Source organism: Homo sapiens, chromosome 17 (genome assembly GCF_000001405.40).
Source record: "Homo sapiens chromosome 17, GRCh38.p14 Primary Assembly".
NCBI lineage: Eukaryota > Metazoa > Chordata > Mammalia > Primates > Hominidae > Homo > Homo sapiens.
Genome location: NC_000017.11, coordinates 29,774,376 through 29,797,264, shown reverse-complemented (window position 1 = coordinate 29,797,264; position 22,889 = coordinate 29,774,376). Strand labels below are relative to the sequence as shown.

The 22,889-nt window shown below is 41.5% G+C and overlaps 1 protein-coding gene and 2 pseudogenes across 10 annotated transcripts in view, besides 1 other annotated feature; 2 read left to right on the top strand and 1 right to left on the bottom strand.

Annotated features, from left to right (window-relative positions):
- The window catches only part of SSH2 (slingshot protein phosphatase 2), a 304,291-nt gene that overhangs the window by 132,964 nt on the left and 148,438 nt on the right, over positions 1-22,889 (top strand). For all 10 annotated transcript variants that reach the window (XM_047436967.1, XM_005258058.4, XM_047436968.1 and 7 more), the window contains one exon: positions 3,328-3,371. In XM_047436967.1, coding sequence (XP_047292923.1) covers positions 3,328-3,371 — 44 coding nt within the window. Of the gene's footprint in view, positions 1-3,327; positions 3,372-22,889 lie in introns of those variants that run through there.
- Positions 17,539-17,668: an enhancer, noted in NCBI's record as "active region_11986". NCBI's record gives its function as "activates an Ori minimal core promoter by ATAC-STARR-seq in GM12878 lymphoblastoid cells {active_cell/tissue: GM12878}" and the evidence as "EXISTENCE:reporter gene assay evidence [ECO:0000049][PMID:35858748]".
- On the bottom strand, positions 19,521-19,646 carry LOC124900394 (uncharacterized; annotated as a pseudogene).
- On the top strand, positions 20,573-21,547 carry LOC100421100 (RNA terminal phosphate cyclase like 1 pseudogene; annotated as a pseudogene).

Below are 22,889 nucleotides of genomic sequence, written 5' to 3'. Positions count from 1 at the left end.
TTCTGAGGTGATGGAAATGTTCCATTTCTTGATAGCAGTTTGAATTACGTAGACACATACATTTGTCAAAACTCATTAAATGGCGCACTTAAGATTTGTATATTTCATTGTATATAAATTTTACCTTAAAAAAAAAAAACTGGCCAGGTGTGGTGGCTCATGCCTGTAATCCCAGCACTCTGGGAGGTCAAGGCAGGAAGATCACTTGAGACCAGAAGTTTGAGACCAACCTGAACAACATAGTGAGACCCCGTATCTACAAAAACTTAAAAATAAAGAACAAAATTAGCCAGGCCTGGCAGTGTGCATCTGTAGTCCTAGCTACTCAGGAGGGAGAGGCAGGAGAATTGCTTGAACCCAGGAGTTTGAGGCTGCAGTGAGCTGTGATAATGCTACTGCACATACTACAGCCTAAGTGACAGAGCAAGATCTTATCTCTAAACAAAAAAAAAAAAAGAAAGGAAAAAACTATAAAGAAATACTGAATTCTAATTAATTATTATGCATTTAAAGGCAGATGTACTGATATCAGTAACTTAAATCGAAATGCATCCAAAAAATAAGATGGATAGATGGACAGATAGATGAATAAACATATGATTTTTAAAAAGTATAGAAAATATTGGCTAGGCATGGTGGCTCACGCCTATAATCCTAGACCATGGGAGGCCGAGGTGGGCGGATCACCTGAGGTCAGGAGTTCGAGACCAGCCTGGCCAACATGGAGAAAGCCCGTCTCTACTAAAAATACAAAAATTAGCCAGGCCATGGTGGCACATGCCTGTAATCCTAGCTACTCAGGAAGCTGAGGCAGGAGAACCACTTGAACCCACGAGGTGGAGGTTGTAGTGAGCTGAGATTGCGCCACTGCACTCCAGCCTGGGCAACAGAGCGAGACTCCGTCTCAAAAAAAAGTATAGAAAATATTAATGATACAATCTAGATGGTAGATATACAAGTTCGCTATAAGATCTTTCAATTTTATGTTTGAAATTTTTTAAATAATAAAATGAGGTGGAAACAAAAAAAGTATAAACTGGGATAGTAGTCACATAATAGAAAGAGGAATGGGAAATAAGAGGCAAACAGAAGCAACAGTGTTGGTACTATTATAGCTCTTAGGTGGAATGGTGTTCATAGGTATTAATTTTGTTATTGTACCTCATAACTTATATGTTAAACATATTCTTATATAATATTTAATGCAATTAAAAAATAATGTGGCCGGGCACGGTGGCTCACGCCTATAATCCCAGCACTCTGGGAGGCCGATGGGGGTGGATCACCTGAGTTCAGGAGTTTGAGACCAGCCTGGCCAGTATGGCCAAACCCCATCTCTACTAAAAAATACAAAAATTAGCCAGGCATGGTGGCGGGCACCTGTAGTCCCAGCTACTTGGGAGGCTGAGACTGGAGAATTGCTTTATCCTGGGAGGTGGAGGTTGCAGTGAGTCGAGATCGCATCACTGCACTCCAGCCTGGGTGACAAGAGTGAGACAACGTCTAAAAAAAAGATAAGGAAAAAAATGTGAGAAGACTGCATTATAATTTGAGATCTATTAATAATAACAGTACTGAAGCACTCTTTGTTAAATGATATTCCAGGAAATCATTTCTATTTATTACAGTTCTTTGGGCACAAAAATCTAACATTTACATTTGTTTATCTGAGTCTTTTATTTTCATTCTTGCAAACTTTCCAGGTTCTGATTATTGATTCTAGAGACAGCTCTTTCCCATTTTAAACCTTTTTTCAGTCTCTAAAGGGCATACCTTTCTAACCTAAAACCTCTCTCTTATATGCAAAGAGTGTAATACACTATGACACTTTCTACCTGTACTCCTTCTGGAAGCAGAATCTTTGTTTTGTTCTTCCTTTGTGGAAAATAAAAAAAGAGAGACAGAGAGAAAGACATGTTTGAAATGAATAATGAAATGTTGTAGGATATTTTTGTAGTAGTTATTGTTTTTTCTCTAATTCTTTTTCAGTCTTATCAGATTAGCTTATCCTTGTTTTTCAACGTGCTTCCTTGGTCTCTCAAGAAACCAGATTGCAGCTGGGCATGGTATTTTGTGCCTGTAATTCCAGCTACATGGGAATGAAAGTTACAGAGCTAGGCTTGGTTGCCCAGGAAAGGAGGCAGAATGATGTAAAGGTAGATGAGGATGGCTTCATAAATGAAAATGCAGGTGACTTGTTGGGCAGACAGTACACATATTCTCTGAGATTATTTTTCTCCTTCTACCTAATAGTTCTGTGTTTGCCAGATAGGGCAAAAGTGATGAGAGAACAAATACAAATTGTCAGGGAGCAAATTTAAAGAAAAAGCCTCTTCATCTTTCCTCACTTTTCCTTCATGTCAATATTCTTGCCTCTGTGAAGATCAGTATAATATCATAACATATACTAATTTTTAACCCAGGGCAAGGAGAGGTAAATGATAAGCTTTTTCAGCTAGCTGGGAGTCAATATTTCTTCGTTTTAATTCTTTACCACATGAGTCTCCTTGGACAGCTTATTTCCCTTTTGCTTCTTCATCTGTAAAATATTCATTGAGTCTAAATTGACATAAGTTATAAGACTTTCTATTATTTTATGTGCCACACTAAGAAGAAATAAATATTGTAATTGAACTATGATTCAGTGCTTTTTGTTGTCATCATTGTTTGGCATCCCTGGGTGGGTCATTAACCATCAGTGCTTTTATATGACATTGATTTATCCTATGTTACTGTGTGTATTTGAATAAATTAAAAATAATTGGTACCATCAACCTTCTGGGTTTATAAAGAATAAGTACAGTAATGTACTTAAATTGAGGAACACAGTGCCTAGCACATTGTAAGTACTCAACAAGTGGTAGCCATTATGTTGATGTTGATGGTGATTTGATCATGAGCACTCTCTTTTAAGTGGTGTTCATTGTTTAGGTTGTTCTTTGGGGGTCAGAATCATTAATAGGTTATATTGATGAGATTTATTGGTGGTAGTCAGAATGCCCACTCGTTTTGAAGCTGAAGTAGCATAACAGTAAAATAACATGTTTAGTTGGTTTTTGGAGGTAATTGTTTTAATGAATAGCACTTCATTGTCAATGAAATTTGTTCATGGACTACTGTTGAAGTTACCTCCAGGAGTAAGTTCTATTGACATCAACTTCCTGGGTTGGTTGAAGTCACTTTTTTTGAAGAGAATTTAGTTCAAGTATACAACATGAGTAATTTAGTTCAAGTACACAACATGTGAAACTTAGTAAAATTATATTAGTGATATTATGATATGAAACCTCAGGTTTTAATTTTTTTTTTCATTTTCTGTCTATACAGGAGGCAGACAGTGGGGAGGAAGAATGCCGGTCACAGCCCAGGAGGTATGTTTGTTCATTATATCCTACGGCATTTTTGTTGTAGGATATTTTTGTAGTAGTTATTGTTTTTTCTCTAATTCTTTTTCAGTCTTATCAGATTAGCTTATCCTTGTTTTTCAACGTGCTTCCTTGGTCTCTCAAGAAACCAGATTGCACCTGGGCATGGTATTTTGTGCCTGTAATTCCAGCTACTTGGGATTGCTTAAGGCCAGGAGTTTGAGACAACGTATCAGGACCTTCCTCCGTTTTTTAAAAAAAAAAAGAGTAAGAGCGAATGCTTTAGGAATCCAGTTACTGACTCAGAAAGATTTTTCAATGGTACATTGGTTTAAAAAGAGGCAGAAAGGTCAATTTTGGCTCAGTTTTCACCCAAGCATCCAAGGAATTATCTTGGGGGTAATAAAAAAGCAAAATTTCCTTACCTTTCAGGAAAATATCAACTGAAGAACATTTCAGCCTTCAGTTTTGTACTTAATTTGTCATTCATATTTGATAAATTTTGGCAATTCTTGCAGATTGGTAAATATTTCACTTTGTTTCTATACAAAGGGTATACTGAGTAAGTATACTGAGTAACCTACCTAATCTTTTAAAATGCAATGAAATATTTTTACCCTCTTCTCATGGAATAGTGGGCATGTTGTTAGAAGGGTGCCAGTACCCAGTAACATTAAAAGAAAACAATTGTGAGAGAAATCTAGGAAGTATAAAATAACATTTATTTTATCTCCTTTAAGGGTTTTTAAAAGTAACTCCCTCCCACAAGAAACAGGCCTGGTAAGTTCTAGATGGTCATTTCAATGTTACCAAACTTGTATCCTCTGAACTCAAATGAGCCATTCTAGATGATACAGAGAAAGGATCAATAAGCATGCTCATTGTGAAGAAGCTGGCTAAAGGGAATGCTGCTTTAATAATTATCAGGCCGGGCGCGGTGGCTCACGCCTGTAATCCCAGCACTTTGGGAAGCCGAGGCAGGCGGATCACGAGGTCAGGAGATCAAGACCATCCTGGCTAACACGGTGAAACCCTGTCTCCACTAAATACAAAAAATAAGCTGGGCATGGTGGCGGGTGCCTGTAGTCCCAGCTACTCAGGAGGCTGAGGCAGGAGAATGGCGTGAACACGGGAGGCGGAGCTTGCAGTGAGCCGAGATCGCGCCACTGCACTCCAGCTTGGGCTACAGAGCGAGACTCCGTCTCAAAAACAAGAACAAACAAAAAATAATAAAAATTATTATTATTATTATCAGGTGTTTGTTGATATATACCTCCTTCTTGTAAACTACAACTTAATATAAAAATAGTTCCTTTTCATCAGTAACTGAGATTATCGGTAGTTTTTTTCCTGATTTGTTAACACATAAATTGTGGGCTTAAGGCTTAATTTCTCGTGTCTCTTAGCAAAGAGAAGTGTCCTTCTTTTGCATAGGGCTAAGGAGGTAGAAACCAAAAATAAATTTTAGCTGAATGTGTACCAGAGGCATCGTAATCATATTCCCATTAGAATGAAAAAATAATTCTTATATTTTCTAGAAGGTCAGATTTAAAGCTCTCTGAGTCAATTTCAAGCTTTATATATTGACTCAATATCCACTGGAATAATGTTGTTCCAAAAAATTACCTAATGATGAGGCAATGGAAGTCATTCTCTTATTCACAGTACTGAATTGTCAAGCCATTAAGAACTATAAAGGCCAGGCGCGGTGGCTCACACCTGTAATCCCAGCACTTTGGTAGGCCAAGAGTCTGAGAACAGCCTGGCCAACCTGGTAAAACCCCATCTTTAATAAAAATACAAAAAAAAATTAGCCAGGCATGGTGGTGCATGCCTGTAATCCCAGCTACTCAGGAGGCTGAGGCAGAAAAATCACTTGAACCCAGGAGGTGGAGGTTGCAGTGAGCAGAGACCACACAACTGCACTCCAGTCTGGGCAACAAAGTGAGACTCTGTCTTACTAAAAAAAAAAAAAAAAAAAAGAGGAAGAAGAAGAATCATAAAGACCTGTTTTTAAGTTTTTGGCAATACTTTGTCACTTTGACCAGCAGAGGGTTTTTGCAGGCTTCTTCTATTCACAAGAGGATTACTTATAAAAATAAGAAATGAAAAAAACCTAGTAGCAACTATTAAAAAATCAAAATTTGCTAATCTGTTATAATGTCTTACATTTAGTGTGTTTGCCAAGCTATTTCTAAATCTAAAGGCTTTAGTCCGACTCGAAGCAAAGAAACTTATCTTACCTGCCAGTTGAATGCCCCTTGTAGCTATACGGTATGTAAGAGATTGATTTTTGTATGTTTGACTGCTACAGATTGTTCAGAGTTCTCCATCACTCACCACAGAATAAACCAGCATTGAATCATTTCATTAAGCATGCCTGAACTCATCTTGTCAGTTTGTGGGTTCAAATGTAGCTTGTAGTAGGAAATTAAATAGTAAACAGCATATCATTAAAACTAAAGGCCAGTTCCAGGTAACAAAGAAGACATTGCATTAATAATCTGTTATTTTTGCCAGGGGCAGTGGCTCATGCCTGTAATCCCAGCATTTTGGGAGGCTGAGGCAGACGGATCACATGAGGTCAGGAGTTCAAGAGCAACCTGGCCAACATGGTGAAACCCCATCTCTGCTAAAAATACAAAAAATTAGCCGGGTGTGGTGGTGCATGCCTGTAGTCCAGCTACTCAGGTGTCTGAGGCAGGAGAATTGGTTGAATCCTGGAGGTGGAGGTTGCAGTGAGCCGAGATCAAGCCACTGCACGCCAGCCTGGGCAGCAGAGCAAGACTCCGTCTCAAAAATTAATAATAATAATAATAATAAATCTTAACCAAATGCCATTTATTGACAAAGTCATAAAAATAATCTTTCAGACCAGGTGCAGTGGCTCACACCTGTAATCCCAGCACTTTGGGAGGCCATGTGGGTGGATCACCTGAGGTCAGGAGTTTGAGACCAGCCTGGCCAACATGGCGAAATCCTGTCTCTACTAAAAATACAAAAATTAGCTGGGTGTGGTGGCATGAGCCTGTAATCCCAGCTACTCAGGAGGCTGAGGCAGGAGAATCACTGGAACTCGGGAGGCAGAGGTTGCAGTGAGCTGAGATTGCGCCACTGCAATCCAGCCTGGGCAATAGAGCAAGACTCTGTCTCAAAAAAAAAAAAAAAAATCTTTCAGTACAATTAGACCAAACTATGATGGCTTTGTTCACAGATAACAACCATAACTACAAAAATAGATAAATTAGACTACATCAAAATTTCAAACTTCTGTGCATCAAAAGACACTATCAACAGAGTGAAAAGGCAACCCATGGAACAGAAGAAAATATTTGCAAATCATAAGGGGTTAAATCCAGAATGTGGATATAAAGAACTACAGCTCAATAAAAACAAAACCCTAGTCAGTCCACTATAACAAAATACCTAGACTGGGTGGCTGAAACAACAGACATTTATTTCTCACAGTCCTGGAGGCTGGGAAATCTAAGATCAAGGTGCCAGAATGTTCATGTGAGGGTGTTCTTCCGGGCTTGCAGACAGCCACCTTCTCTCAGTGTTCTTACTTGGTGGGGAGAAAGAAAGAGAGAGCACGTTCTGGTCTCTTCCTATTCTTTTAAGGACACGTCATGGGGGGCTCACCATCATGACCTCATCTAACCCTAACTACCTCCCAAAGGCCTCGCCTCACTTTCGAGGGTAGGGCTTCAACATATGAATTAGCAGGGGGCACAAGCATTAAGTCCATAATATTTTGCCCGGGAACCCACAAAATTCATGTTCTCATACACAAAATATATTCATTCCATCTCAACATCTTTAAAAGACAAAACATTCCAGCATCAGTTCTGAAGCCTAAAGTCCAAAGTTTTATATCATCTAAATCAGATACAAGTAAGACCAGGAATGATTCATTCTGAGCCAACATTCCTCTCCAGCTGTGAACCTGTGAAACCAGGTAAATTAAGCACTTCCAAAATACCATGGTGAGGTAAGCATAGGATAGATTTCCTATCTCAAAAGGTAGAAATCAGAAGGAAAGTAGGACTGATAGGTCCCAAATAAGTTTAAAACTTAGCAAGGCAAATCCCCTTAGGTCTTAAGACTTGAAAATAATCCTTCTTGGTTTGATGCTCTGCTCTCCAGATGCACTTGAGTGGCAGCGTCACCCTCATTGCTTCATGTGGTGGCCCTGCCCCTTCAGCTCAGTGGAGTGCCATCCACAGGGCTCTCTGCAAGAGCCCTGCCCACACAACTCTGCTTGCCAGTGGTCCTAGCCTTTGAAACTGAAGTGAAGACAGCCTGCTCCCTGATCGCCACCCATGGTGGGTGTGATGAGAGTAGAAGCCCTGATGATCATCACTGAATTGCCTTTGGGGGGATCCTTCTTCCCCTTTCTTGAAGGATAATGCGTAGTCACAGTCTTCCTTTATTCCATTTCATTTTCTCTGTTTCCCTTAGTCCTAGCTGGCAGTATTTCTGTTTGCATAATCCCTTCTCTATCCTGGCTTCTATTGAGATGGCTGATTAGGCCTGTGGTTCACACCAACACTACCCTCCTTATATGGTCAGTCAGCCACACTGTTGGTGTTCCCTTCCAAACATGCTTTCTCATTTTTTGCAATATGCACAGGCAGAGAATGTTCCAAGTAAGTTCTGGTTCCCTTTTGCTTAACTATTCCTTCTGCAATTCATTTCTCTCTTTTTGCATTTTATTATAGCAGCCAGAAGGAGCCAAACCACTCCTTCACCACTTTGCTTAGAAACCACTGTAGTTGAATGTCCAATTCCACTGTTGCAAGTTCTACCTTCCACAAAATACTAGAACACAAACACAATCCAGCCCAAGTTCTTTGCCACTTTATAACAAGGATTGCCTTTTCTCCATTGTCCACTAACATGTTTCTTGTTTCCATCTGAGCCTTCGTCAGAAAGGGCTTTTCCATCCATATTTCTACAAATATTCTGTTCGTGGTTCTTTATGTATTCTCTAAGAAGATGGAAGCATTTTCTCCAGATCTCCTCTATCCTTTCTGAGCACTCACCAGAATTGCCTTTAGCAATCCCTTCATGGCAATCTTGGCTTTTTCTAGCATGCACTTCAAAACTCTTCTACCCATTACCTGGTTTCAAAGCCTCAGCACCCCATTTCTCAGGACCAATATCTGTATTAGTCAGGGTTCTTTAGAGAAATAGAACCAAAAAGGGTATCTCATAGAGATAGATAGATATATATAGAGAGAGGGAGAGAGGGAGGGAGGAAGGGAGGAAGGGAGGAAGGGAGGGAGAGAGTGAGGGAAAGAAAGAAAAAAGAGAGAGAAAGAAAGAAAGAAAAGAAAGAAATTGATTCTAAGTAAATGGTTTACATTATTGAGGCTGAGAAGTCCCAAGATCTGTAGGCTGGAAACCCAGGAGAACTAATGGTATAGTTCCAGTCCAAGTCCAAAGGCTTAAAGAACTAGGAGAGCCAATGGTGGCTCAGTCCACCATTTGCTGAGTCCAAGTCTGAGTCCGAAAATAGAAGACCAATGTCCTTGCTCAAAGGCAGAAGGAGGAACTTCTCCCTTATTCAGCCTTTTGTTCTATTCAGGCCTTCAATAGATTGAGTGAGGACTACCCACACTGGAGAGGACAGTCTGCTTTACCCAGTCTACTGATTCAAAGGTTAATATTATCCAGAAACACCCTCACAGATAAGCCGAGAATAATATTTAACCAAATACTGGACATCCTGTGACCCAGTCAGGTTGATGGTTGACACATAAAATTAACCATCATACAACCCAATTAAAAAATAAGCAAAGAACTTGAATAGACATTTCTCCAAAGAAGATAAACAAATAAGCAATAAGCATATGAAAAGATGCTCAAGGCCGAATGCAGTGACTCATGCCTGTAATTCCAGCACTTGGGAGGCTGAGAAGGAAGGATTGCTTGAGCCCAGGAGTTTGAGACCAGCCTGGGAAACATGGCAAGACCCCATCTCTACAAAAGATAAAAAAATTTAGCCAGGTGTGGTGTCACACACCTGTCCCAGCTACTCAGAATGTTGAGGTGGGAAGACTGCTTGAGTCCAGGAATTAAAGGCTGTGGTGAGCTAAGAAGGTTCCACTGCACTCCAGCCTGGGTAACAGTACAAGACCCTGTCTCTTAAAAAAAAAAAAAAAATCAAAATCACTAATCATTAAGGAAATGCAAATTGAAACCACGGTGAGATACTACCTCATACCCATTAGGATGGCCACTATCAACATAAAGCGTTGGTGAGGATATGGAGAAATTGGAAGCCTTGTGCACTATTGGTGGGAATGTAAAATGGCATAGCTGCAATGGAAAATAGTATGGTGATTCTTCAAAAAATTAAAAATAGAATATGATCATATGATCCAGCAATTCCACTTCTGGACTCCTGGGTAGATACCTAAAAGAATTGAAAGCAGGGTCTTAAGAGATTCATACACCCGTGTTCATAGCAACATTATTCACAATAGCCAAGAGATGGAAGCAACCCAAGTGTTCATCAACGATGAATGGATAAACAAAATGAGGTATTATATGTACAGTGGAATATTGTTCAGCCTTTAAAAAGGAAATAAGTTCTGACATGCCACAACGTGGGTAAAAATGAGGACATTAAGCTAAGTGAAATAAGCCAATCACAAAAAGTCAAATACTGTATGATTCCACTTACATGAGATACCTAGAATAATCAAATTCATGCGGACAGAATAATGGTGACTGGGGGATGGATGGAGTGGGAAGTTATTGCCTAGTGGGTACGGAGCTTCAGTTTTGGAAGATGAAAAAAGTTCTAGAAATGGATAGTGGTGGTGGTTGCACAACATTGTGAACGTACTTAATGCCAGTGAACTGTACACTTAAAAGTAGTTAAGATGGAAATTTTTATGTTTATTTTACCACAATTAAGAAACAATGTATTTATGCCATACTAGCCCCTTTTTGTGATTGATTGATTGAGACAGGGTCTTGCTCTGCCACACAGGCGGGAGTGCAGCGATACAGTAATGGGCTCAGTCCCACTTGAGCCTCCCAAGTAGCTGAGACCACCGGCATGCACCACTATGCCCAGCTAATATTTTCTGTTATTTTTGTAGAGACAGGGTCTCCCTATGTTGCCTAGGCTGGTCTCAAACTGCTGGGCTCAAGTGATCCTCCTGCCTCAGCCTCCCAAAGTGCTGGGATTACAAGTGTGAGCCACCATGGCTGGCCACCTTTTTGTGATATTTGAACTCCAGCAATATTTTTTTTTTCTCAGAAGACAGGCATAAAAAGATAACATAATTACAGAAAATCAGGTTTTATATCATTGACTATTGTTGCAGTACTTTTCCTTAGTTCAGCTAAAGACAGAGTTATTGTCCCATGGCAACAAAAATTTAGGCTCACAGATGATTGAAGGGTGAGAATAATGGGATTTATGGGGCAAAAAGGAAAACAAAGGGGGAACAGGGACTTTCTGCAAGGCTAGAATTCCTGCTGGTTCCTTCCTGCCTTGCAGTTTGAATCCCAGGTTTCACAAAGGAAGAGGAGGGGCCAGGCTCCTCCCCATGCAAATTGTGCGAACTTCCCGAAGCTCCACCTCAGTATGCAGGCTGGCTGGAGTTTTGCCAGGGAACCTTTCCAACCTGTTTGTCTCACTATTTGGTCAAAAGATAAATGGATGAAATTTGATGCCAGTATTTCCTTTGCATATTTATGAACTCAACTTTTTCTTGTGTGATGACCCACTTTGCTGACCGGGGAATAGCCAGGAAAATAACTATAGAAGTAAACAGGGCCGGGCGCGGCGGCTCACGCCTGTAATCCCAGCACTTTGGGAGGCCGAGGCGGGTGGATCACCAGGTCAGGAGATCAAGACCATCCTGGCTGACACGGTGAAACCCGGTCTCTACTAAAAATACAAAAAACTAGCCGGGCGTGATGGCGGGCGCCTGTAATCCCAGCTACTGGGGAGGCTGAGGCAGGAGAATGGTGTGAACCCAGGAGGCAGAGCTTGCAGTGAGCCGAGATCGCGCCACTGCACTCCAGCCTGGGCTACACAGGCAGACTCCGTCTAAAAAAAAAAAAAAAAAAGTAAACGGACTGGGCGCGGTGACTCGCGCCTGCAATCCCAGCACTTTGAGAAGCCGAGGTGGGTGGATCTCGAGGTCACGAGTTCGAGACCAGCCTGGTCAACATGGCAAAACCCCCATCCCTACTAAAAATACAAAAATTAGTTGAGCGTGATGGCACGCTCCTGTAATCCCAGCTACTCAGGAGGCTGAGGCAGGAGAATCGCTTGAACCCGGGAAGCAGAGGTTGCAGTGAGCAGAGATGGTACCACTGCACTCCAGAGCCTGGGCAACAGAGTAAGACTCTGTCTCAAAAAAAAAAAAAAAAAAAAAAAATGAAACGCCAATATTCAAACATATTAACTGTAAACAGCTGTCTCATATGGGTCAACCTAATACAATTATAAGATGATAAATAAAAATGAACAAGATTGCACTGAAATATATCTTGCAATCTCAGGACACCTTTTTTAAGGTGAATAGTGAATAGTTATGATAGGAAACAAAGTACTTTGAGATCTTAATTTAATTTTAATTATAGTAGAATTCTTTCATTCTTGTGTGTGCCAACCCCAAGATAAGAACTGTATAAAGTAAGGAGTTTTACATTTCTTCTCTCAATTCCAGCAATACATATAATATATTATACTTTTTTTGATTACTTTGAAAATGAAGAAATTATTTTTCATGTTCAGCTGAAACCCTCCCCTATTTTTAAGCCTGGTTTCTTCCTCTTTAGTCTTTCATGGACATAAAAAATTACTCACCATCTGCTGAAAAAATTCTTCACCTTTGAAAATTTGGTCTTTATAAGGGAAAAATGAAGCAAAATAAAAACAAAACAAAAAGAAAATTTGGTCTTTTCCTCAGTTGTTTCAAAGATAGCAATGAAAATAAAATTTGCAGCAGAGGAGAGGAAAAAAGCAATGTGGGCCAGAGCTGAGTCATGATGAATGAATGGGATTTAGATAGGAGAACAGAAGAAAAGGGTAGCATTCCAAACATAGGAGAGTGGGGAGAATGGAAGGATATCATCAAAAGTCTGAAAATAGGAGCTAATGTGTTTTAGGAAAGTAAGAAGGTAACTGTCTATACCTTAAAAGCAGAGGAGTTTCAATTTGATAGATCTATGTGTAGAAGAATGACATGACTAATTCTAAATATCACCAACCATTATTCAGGAGGTCATAGGATTCACAACTTCCCTAATTATTCTTTTTTTTTTTTTTGAGAAGGAGTCTAGCTCTGTCACCCAGGCTGGAGTGCAGTGGGGTGCAATCTCGGCTCACTGCAACCTCCGCCTCCTGGATTCAAGTGATTCTCCTGTCTCAGCCTCCCAAGAAGCTGGGATTACAGGCACCCGTCACCACACCCAGCTAATTTTTGTAACCTGACCTCAAGCGATTCACCTGCCTCGGCCCCCAATTACTCTTTTTTTTTTTTGAGATGGAATCTTGGTCTGTCGCCCAGGGTGGAATGCAATGGCACAATCTTGGCTCATTGCAACCTCCATCTCCCAGGTTCACGTGATTCTCCTGCCTCAGCCTCCTGAGTAGCTGGGATTACAGGTGCGTGCCACCACGCCCAGCCTATTTTTATTTTTAGTAGAGATGGGGTTTAACCATGTTGGCCAGGCTGGTCTCTAACTCCTGATCTCAGGTGATCCACCCACCTTGGCCTCCCAAAGTGCCAGGATTGCAGGCATGAGCCACCGCGTCCAGCCCCCAATTACTCTTTTTTTTTTTTTTTTTTTTTTTTTTTTGAGACGGAGTCTCGCTCTGTCACCCAGGCTGGAGTGCAGTGGCGGGATCTCGGCTCACTGCAAGCTCCGCCTCCCGGGTTCACGCCATTCTCCTGCCTCAGCCTCCCAAGTAGCTGGGACTACAGGCGCCCGCCACTACGCCCGGCTAATTTTTTGTATTTTTAGTAGAGACGGGGTTTCACCGTTTTAGCCGGGATGGTCTCGATCTCCTGACCTCGTGATCCGCCCGCCTCGGCCTCCCAAAGTGCTGGGATTACAGGCGTGAGCCACCGCGCCCGGCCCCCCCAATTACTCTTAAAGGTAACATCACTATTGTGAACCTAAGATCAGCTTTTTGAGATGCCTTTTCAGGTGTAATGGTTAATACTGAGTGTCAGCTTGATTGGATTGAAGGCTACAAAGTATTGATCCTGGGTGTGTCTGTGAGGGTGTTGCAAAAGAGATTACCTGGGGAAGGCAGATGCACAGTTAATCTGGTGGGCACAATCTAATCAGATACCAGCGAATATAAAGCAGGCAGAAAAACATAAAAAGGACAGACTGGCCTAGCTCCCAGCCTACATCTTTCTCCCATGCTGGATGCGTCCTGCCCTCAAACATTGGACTGCAAGTTCTTCACTTCTTCACTTTTGGGACTCGGACTGGCTCTTCTTGCTCCTCAGCTTGCAGATAGCCTATTGTGGGACCTTGTGATCATGTAAGTTAATACTTAAAAAATTCTCCTTTACATATATATATATATATATAATATATGTTATATAACTATATAAATATTATATATATAATATATAAATATAAATATTATATTTATATAAAGTTCTGTCCCTATAGAGAACCCTAATAAATAAGGTTTTTCCATTTCTAACAACCGAATGACCCCACCTGGACCTGCCAACTAGTTCTGTGGCCCCCACTCAGGAACTGACTCAGCATAAAAGAACAGCTTCAACTCCCTGTGATTTTATCTCTGAGCCAACCAATCAGCACTCCCAATTCAATGGCCCCCTACCCAACAAATTATCCTTTATACCAAAACTCTGATCCAGGCCAGGCGCGGTGGCTCATGCCTGTAATCACAGCGCTTTGGAAGCCCAAGACGGGAAGATCAACTGAGGTCAGGGGTTCCAGACCAGCCTGGCCAACATGGTGAAACCCTGTCTCTACTAAAAATACAAAAATTAGCCAGGTGTAGTGGCGCATGCCTGTAATCACAGCACTTTGGGAGGCCAAGGCGGGCAGATCACCTGAGGTCAGGAGTTCGAGACCAGCCTGGCCAACATGGCGAAACCCCGTCTCAACTAAAAATACAAAAATTAGCCAGGCGTGGTGGCGCATGCCTGTAATCCCAGCTACTTGGGAGGCTGAGGCAGGAGAATCGCTTGAACCCAGGAAGCAGAGGTTGCAGTGAGCGGAGATCGCACCACTGCACTCCAGCCTGGGCGACAGAATGAGACTCCGTCTCAGAAAAAAAAACAAAAAACAACTCTGATCCTCAAGTTTTCAGGAAGACTGATTTGAGTAGTAATAAAACTCTGGTCTCGCACAAAAAAAGAAAAAATGTATAACATGACTTCCAGAAGGAGTCTGGCAGTATTATACAGCATGAGGGGAGGGGAGGCAAGAAAACTATCAAGAAAGCTGTTGCAGTAATTCAGGCAAATGGCTAGTTCCTGTACGAGAGCAGCATGAGGACAGGGATTATGTATTTTACTTTGGTATCCAATTAGCATGTAGTTGGCACTCAGTAAATGCTTAGTGAATGAACAGGAATAGAAGAATATTGATTACTGTACTAGAAATAATACTAGTTAAGAAAGGGAACTCTGTCAGAAACCATATGAAGAGTTTGACTTTGGATATATGAAACAACGGGGCATTATTCAAGTAGAAACAGTTTGAAGGCAGTTAAAAGAAAACATAGGGCCGGCATGGTGGCTCGTGCCTATAATCCCAGCACTTTGGGAGGCTGAGGTGGGCAGATCATCTGAGGTCAGGAGTTCAAGACAAGCCTGGCCAACATGGTGAAACCCCATCTCTACTAAAAATACAAAAATTAGCCAGGCATGGTGGCGCACACCTGTAATCCTAGCTATTCTGGAGGCTGAGGCAGGAGAATTGCTTGAACCTGGGAGGGAGAGGTTGCAGTGAGCCGAGATTGAGATTTTGCCACTGTACTCCAGCCTGGGCGACAAAGCGAGGCTCTGTTAAGAAAGAAAGAGAGAGAGAGAGGAGAGAGAGAAAAAGAGGAGAGGAGAGGAGAAGAAAAGAGAAAAGAAAAAAAGTTATTGGGCTGGGCACCGTGGCTTATACCTGTAATCCCAGCACTTTGGGAAGCTGAGGCAGGCGGATCACGAGGTCAAGAGTTCGAGATCAGCCTGGCCAACATAGTGAAACCCTGTCTCTATTAAAAATACAAAAATTGGCCAGGCGTGGTGGCACGCACCTGTAGTCCCAGTTACTCGATAGGCTAAGGCAGGAGAATCGCTTGAACCTAGGAGGTGGAGGTTGCAGTGAGCTGAGACTGCGCCATTGCACTCTAGCCCGGGCAATGGAGTGAGACTCCATCTCAAAAAAAAAAAAAAAAAAAAAAAAGAAAACACAGGATTAGGGCATGTCCTTATATAAGAGATGGTTTCTCAGTGGCACTGTTACTAATTTGCAGCTAAATTTTTCTTCCAGATTTCTGTCTTTGGTACCTTGTCAAGTTTTCTTTATTGTGTATTTGCTCTGTTTATTTTTTATCTTTGAGATAGGACTTCATCTTTATTCAAACCTATTTGGTGAAATAATTTTTCTATGGATTTAAATATCATGACAATATATATACTATTTTGCCCATCTTTCAGCAGTGAAAAGAGGACAAATTTATTTCTGCCTCAGTATATGTTCTAGTTAAAGACTATATTAACTTTGAGAATATGAGCATTGTACTTAAATTTTAAAAAGGGAGAAAAAGGCCGGGCGCCGTGGCTCACGCCTGTAATCCCAGCACTTTGGGAGGCTGAGGCAGGTGGATCACCAGGTCAGGAGATCAAGACCATCCTGGCTAACACGGTGAAACCCCGTCTCTACTAAAAATACAAAAAATTAGCCGGGCATGGTGGTGGGCGCCTGTAGTCCTAGCTACTCGGGAGGCTGAGGCAGGAGAATGGCGTGAACCGGGAGGCGGAGTTTGCAGTGAGCCGAGATCGTGCCACTGCACTCCAGCCTGGGCGACAGAGCGAGACTCCTCTCAAAAATAAAAAATAAAAAAAGGGAGGAAAAGTGGGGAAAAAAGTAGGTCCATTGTAAATATGAGCTGATAATTTAATCCTCATCTTTTTTATCTTTAAAAAAATGTTTAGACCGGGCGCAGTGGCTCACACCTGTAATCCCAGCACTTTGGGAGGCTGACGCAGGTGGATCACGAGGTCAGGAGCTCGAGACCTGCCTGGCCAACATGGTGAAACCCCGTCTCTACTAAAAATACAAAAATTACCTGGGCCTGGAGGCGCGCGCTTGTAATCCCTGCTACTTGGGAAGCTGAGGCAGGAGAATCGCTTGAACCCGGGAGGCGGAAGTTGCAGTGAGCCAAGATCGCACTCCAACCTGGAGACAGCAAGACCCTATCTCAAAAAAAAAAAAAAAAAATTGAAACAATCTCATACTTACAGAGAAATTACAAATACAATACAAGGAACTTTTTTTCTGAGCCATTTGGCAATAAAATGCTCTATCACCTCACTCTTCTTTAAGAAATAGAGTGATGATGTTAACATTTCATGGAGAAACTGAATATTGATTGCACTTATGACAGGAAATATACATTAGAAAGAGAAACAGAGGGTTTTTTTGTTGTTGTTGCTGTTTGAGATGGAGTCTCGCTCTGTCACCCAGGCTGGAATGCAATGGCACAATCTAGGCTCACTGCAACCTCCGCCTCCCAGGTTCAGGCAATTCTCCTGCCTCAGCCTCCCAAATAGCTGGGATTACAGACACGTGCCATCATGCCCGGCTAATTTTTGTATTTTTAGTAGAGATGAGATTTCACCACTTTGGCCAGACTGGTCTCGAACAACTGACCTCAGGTGATCCGGCGGCCTCCCAAAGTGCTGGGATTACAGGCGTGAGCTACTGTGCCCGGCCAGAGTTGTTTTTTTGTTTTGTTGTTGTTGTTTTTAAACAAAAGTAGAGCTTTCCATTTATTAGAAAGTGGCTGTAACTGATCACATTGAAGCTGTTCATCTTTTTTTTTTTTTTTTTTTTTTTTTTTTTTGAGACAGAGTCTCACTCTGTCGCCCAGGCTGGAATGCAATGGGGCGATCTCAGCACACTCCACTTTCTGAGTTCAAGCAATTCTCCTGCCTCAGCCCCCCAAGTAGCTGGGATTACAGGGCCCACCACCACGCCCAGCTAATTTTTTGTACTTTTAGTAGAGTCAGGGTTTCATCTGTCAGGATTGGCCAGGCTGGTCTCGAATCCTGACCCCAAAGTGCTGGGATTACAGGCGTAAACTACCATGCCCAGCCACTGTTCATCTTTTGCTGTGGGCCTTTCTGCACCCTGACTGTGCACCTCCCACCATGTGGGTTACACTTTCCTGTACAGAATAGAGAACTATCTGCCGTTTATAAATGTTTGGGGGGTGGCCACCAGGGGGTGTGGTGAGCTGTCTTCTCATTTTCTTAAATTTCTGCTATCATACAGAGTAGCCTCGCTGGGATGGTTAAGTGTACACCTTTAAAGCCTCTTTTCCTAGCTACTTAACAGCAGTAAGAATTTTCATTTCACTGAAGTATTCTTTGTTTCTGAAGAATGTATTCACAGACACTATTTTATATTTATCTGATGTGTACTGTGTCTGGTGGATGTGAAAGCCATACTTCTTAAATCTGATTTGAAAAGCAAATCTGATTATCACAGCCATAATTAAATTTGGCCAGCCTTCCTTCCTCCCTCCCTCCTTCACTTCCTTCCTTCCTTCCGTTAGAAAAAAAATTAGGTATATCTTTCCAATCTAGGTAAATAATTTTACTTTTCCCCCCTAGATGTTATTCATGATATAAGAAAAACAAAAGTAAAGTAAATGTCCCTTTGATTCTTAATTTTGCCAAATTGACTTTTGGAAGAGTTGTTTTCCTGGATATTATGAAAACCCAGACTAATAAAAACTCAAATGATTATTTAGTAGTAACAAAATCCTCTTGGCTACATGACTTACTTTTTTTTTTTTTTTTTTTTTTTTTTTTTTGGGAGACGGAGGCTCACTCTGTCACCCAGGCTAGAGTGCAGTGGCATGATCTCAGCTCACTGCAACCTCCATCTCCAACATTCAAGCAATTCTCCTGCCTCAGCTTCACGAGTAGCTGGGATTACAGGTGCCTGCCACCACACCTGGCTACTTTATTTATTTATTTATTTATTTTTATTTATTTATTTATTTTTTTAGACAGAATCTCACTCTTGTCGCCCAGGCTGGAGTGCAGTGGCGTGATCTCGGCTCACTGCAACCTCCGCCTCCTGGATTCCAGCAATTCTCCGGCCTCAGCCTCCTGAGTAGCTGGGATTACAGATGCACATCACCATGCCCGGCTGATTTTTGTATTTTTAGTAGAGATGGGGTTTTACCATGTTGGCCAGGCTGGTCTCGATCTCCTGACCTCAGGTGATCCTCCCGCCTCAGCCTCCCAAAGTGATGGGATTACAGGCGTGAGCTACCACGCCCATCCAGGCTACATGACTTATGACTATAGATTCTTACAGATTGCATCTTGGAGAAAAGAGAGCATGATACTTTCCTTTCAGCTGGACTTTCTCTCTCATTACCAGGGTCAATGTTTAGCAGAAATTCTGTATTCCAGAGGGAAAAGGTCTAAGGCAGAAATCCTTTACTAGAAGAGAAATGTGATTTGGGTAGCTGTGAAATTGTGGCCTCTACCCTTTTTCCACCATGCAAAACATTTATGTATCCCATAATTCAGTTCTCATTGAAAAACTGTAAAATGTTAGAACAAATATTCTCACATTCATTGCAGTACTTATTTTTTTTTTTTCTAGTAGGGGAAAGAGGAATGGGGAAAAGCAACAGTATAATCATATCAGAAGAGAAGAATTCCTTTCATGGGAGGGGAAAGAGCTGACAGTCAAGAACTCTTGAGGAACAGTTGAGAGGATACTGTTCCCATCTGCTGGCCCCTTACTCATGGCAGGCTGCAAGGCAGGATGGGATGTGGCAACAGTGACCTCTATCTCAAAGACCGTCCAGATCAGGTTTTTTTTTTTTTTTTTTTTTTCTAGTTTGGGGATAGTGCAGGGTCAGAGGCATGAATATACATTGGAAAGGGCTGTCTCCAAGGTCCATTAGGGCAACTCATACAAGCAACAGGCTGCAAACACCACCAAGGAGGCTGCTGTTTGCAGCCATTGCACACCAGATCAAATGTAAGATCAACCAGTAGCTGGTTGTAGAAAGAATTGTTTGTAATGACATTTCAATTTTCTAAAGACAAGGATTGGTGTTTGGAAGATTCTCTTTCCATCCTTATTCTTTGTATAATGAATGTAGGTACCATGGAATTGTGCATTTTCATTATTTCAGTGCACCATACATTTTCGTATTAGGTTGTTCCTGAATAACACTTTATAAGTAAAGCATGAGTCCTTAAACAGGATGGGCTAGTAATTAAAAGTATATGAGTTTGCCTCCAGCAAAATAAATAATTCTCAATAATCCATAAGTATGTATGTGTTAACTACTAAAGCCAAGGAGGCCTTTCCAATAAGAACTAGATAGATGCTGTAAGGTATAAGATTTAATGATTAAATAGCTGATAATCATAATGAATTTAAAATTTTTTTTTTTTTTTTGAGATGGAGTCTGGCTCTTTTACTCTGTCACCCAGGCTGGAGTGCAGTGGCGAGATCTTGGCTCACTGCAACCTCCATCTTCCAGATTCAAGCAATTCTCCTGCCTCAGCCTCCCAAGTAGCTGGGATTACACATGTGCGCCACCATGCCCAGCTGATTTTTGTATTTTTAGTAGAGACAAGGTTTCACCATGTTGGCCAGGCTGGTCTTGAACTCCTGACTTCAGGTGATCTGCCCGCCTCAGCCTCCCACAGTGTTGGGATTACAGGCATGAGCCACCATGCCCAGCCATGAATTTAAAATTTTAGCCACAATCTAAAATGTGGTTTCTGTACTTTTTTGAATTAAAAGGCTGCTTTCAGCAATTGCAAAATGCTATACAAATATCCTTTTAAAAGTTAATCCATTTTAAAAGGCATAGTCAGGAGGACTGCAAGAGGGAGCTGAAGCCACAGCTCCATGCTGTGGCATCACCTCCAAGCTTCACTGATAGCCCCCTATAATTCCATGGCACCCACGTGACAATCCAGATCCACTTTTTCAGCTCTGTAGGCTGCAACTTCTTGTGTCAGTGCCTGTTCGCCCCATCAAATTCCAAAAGATCCATGCAAAGACCACAATGCAGGCCTCAGAGATTCTGAAGTCAACTTTACAAAGCTGGTGGACAGAAAAACTAATGATTCTTGAATGAAAATAAACCAAACAAGAACAACCCTTTATTATTAAGTAGGCCTTTGTATGGTGGGTCTGTGGAACACAACTGTAATGTCCATCACAGTGGTGGCTTTACTTGGAAACCTTCTTTGCTTGGCTCTTTATGACCACAACCTTCTGCTGAAATAGTTTGGGATTGTTGGTAAGTTATTTGAGCTAAAGACGGTGTGTTGGGCATGCCTCATAGAGGTGGTAAAATATTTTTCTCACGTCCTGAAGGAAGATCTTGAGACCTATTCAGCTCAAAGATCCTAGATAAATCCAAAGTGTTAGAGGAATAGCATACTCCGTAGGTGTATCACCTCAGATGGCTGACTAAATCACGGCATGCTTGAGGAGCATGCTCAACAAGTTCTTACTTTATTTACTTGGATCACATGAAAGGAGCCAACCCTGAGGAGTCGCTGGGCTTTGGGCTATCACTTTTTGCTGAGACCACCAATAGAACCTTCTTCAGTACTGAACTGGCCTTCAACCTTTAGGGCAACAGAGCAGCAGTGCTCCAGAGGACCTTGGCAAGAACCATGCCAAGCTGCTACTGAAGGAGTCTACACAGGCAGATATGTGGATTCTATTAGCCAGAGCCTGATTCTAGAAGCTGCTCATGATCCAAATTCCTGCTAGGCCTGATATCTCCCCTGGAACACAGAGTATTTGAAGCATTTGAAGAATTTTTTTCAGGTTATGTTTAAAATTAAAACCAACTCATGTTGTGAAAAACTCAAGGGCACGGATAGAGTACTGATGACTTGTAATGGAATGGCTTTACCAACTTAACAAGACCATTGTCTCAGGATAAGTCCCTACCCTACAAAATGAAACAGCCAAGGTTAAATCTAAGGAACAAGTTTGAATGCATAAATTCAGATCAGGAGAGGACTTTCTTTTCTATGAATAAAGAAAACCAGAACCTACAAATAAAAGACAGCTATATATCCTCAAAAAATGACATTCCCAGGATGGTTTCCTCACTGATTAAAAGAAAAATGTTTTAGTGAATTTGATGCTAATTCTGTTCTAGAACTGTATTATTTGCAGTTCTGTTGTATATTAATTTGGTGAATAAATCTAGTAATGAAAAGTTCATAATATGGGAGGCTAAGGCAAGAGGATCACTTGAGCCTGGGAGGCAGAGGTTGAGGAGAGCCAAGATTGCGCCAGTGCACTTCAGCATGGGCGCTAGAGCCAGACCCTGTCTCAAAAAAAAAAAAAAAAAAGGAAAGAAGGACTTCATTTTTCACACTCCAGTTTGTCTCCCTTCTAGGCTGCCAGATCTCATGCATTCTTCATTTTTCATCCTCAAGGTCCAATCCAAGCCCTGGCAATTAATAGGCATGAATTACCTAATTGTTAAATTACTGAGTAAATGAGTGATAAATGTATAAATTGAAACTAGGGAAGTTTGTATAGCAATAGGCACCTTACAGTTTTGTTTTGTTATTTGGTTTTTATTTCATAATCATAAACTTAACTCTGCAATCCAGCTAGGCATGGAAGGGAACAAGGAAAACACAGAACTCAAAGGGAACTGCAGTGAGAGCACAACGAGTATAGGATACTGCGAGCAAATGGGGTGGAGGGCTGCTCTCCTGAGCTACAGAAGGAATGGTCTGGTGGTTAAGGTGAAACACAAGTCAAACTTATTCGAGTTGTCCACAGTTGGCAATGTTGATCTTCTTGCTGCTCTTGCCATCCTGCACCTTACAGTTTTAAATGTAATTCATGACCGGATGATTAACTTTTTATAGTACTATTACCCTCTCCCAGTATGATTTTCCCAATTGAATAAAAACTTCATTTTTAAAAAAGCAGCAGCATATATATAAGAACCAAAGTTTTGCCCATCATGCTTATCCACTTCTCTACTCTCCAATCCCAACCCCCAAAATTAGAATCTCACTTTCCTCCACGAAGTATGCAGGAAACTTTAAAAAATTAATAAGCTGGGTGCAGTGGCTTATGCCTGTAATCCCAACACTTTGGGAGGCCAAGGCGGGTGGATCACCTGAGGTCAAGAGTTCAAGACCAGCCTGACCAGCATGGTGAAACCCCATCTCTACTAAAAAATACAAAATTAGCCAGGCATGGTGGTGTATACCTGTAATCCCAGCTACTTGGGAGGCTGAGGCA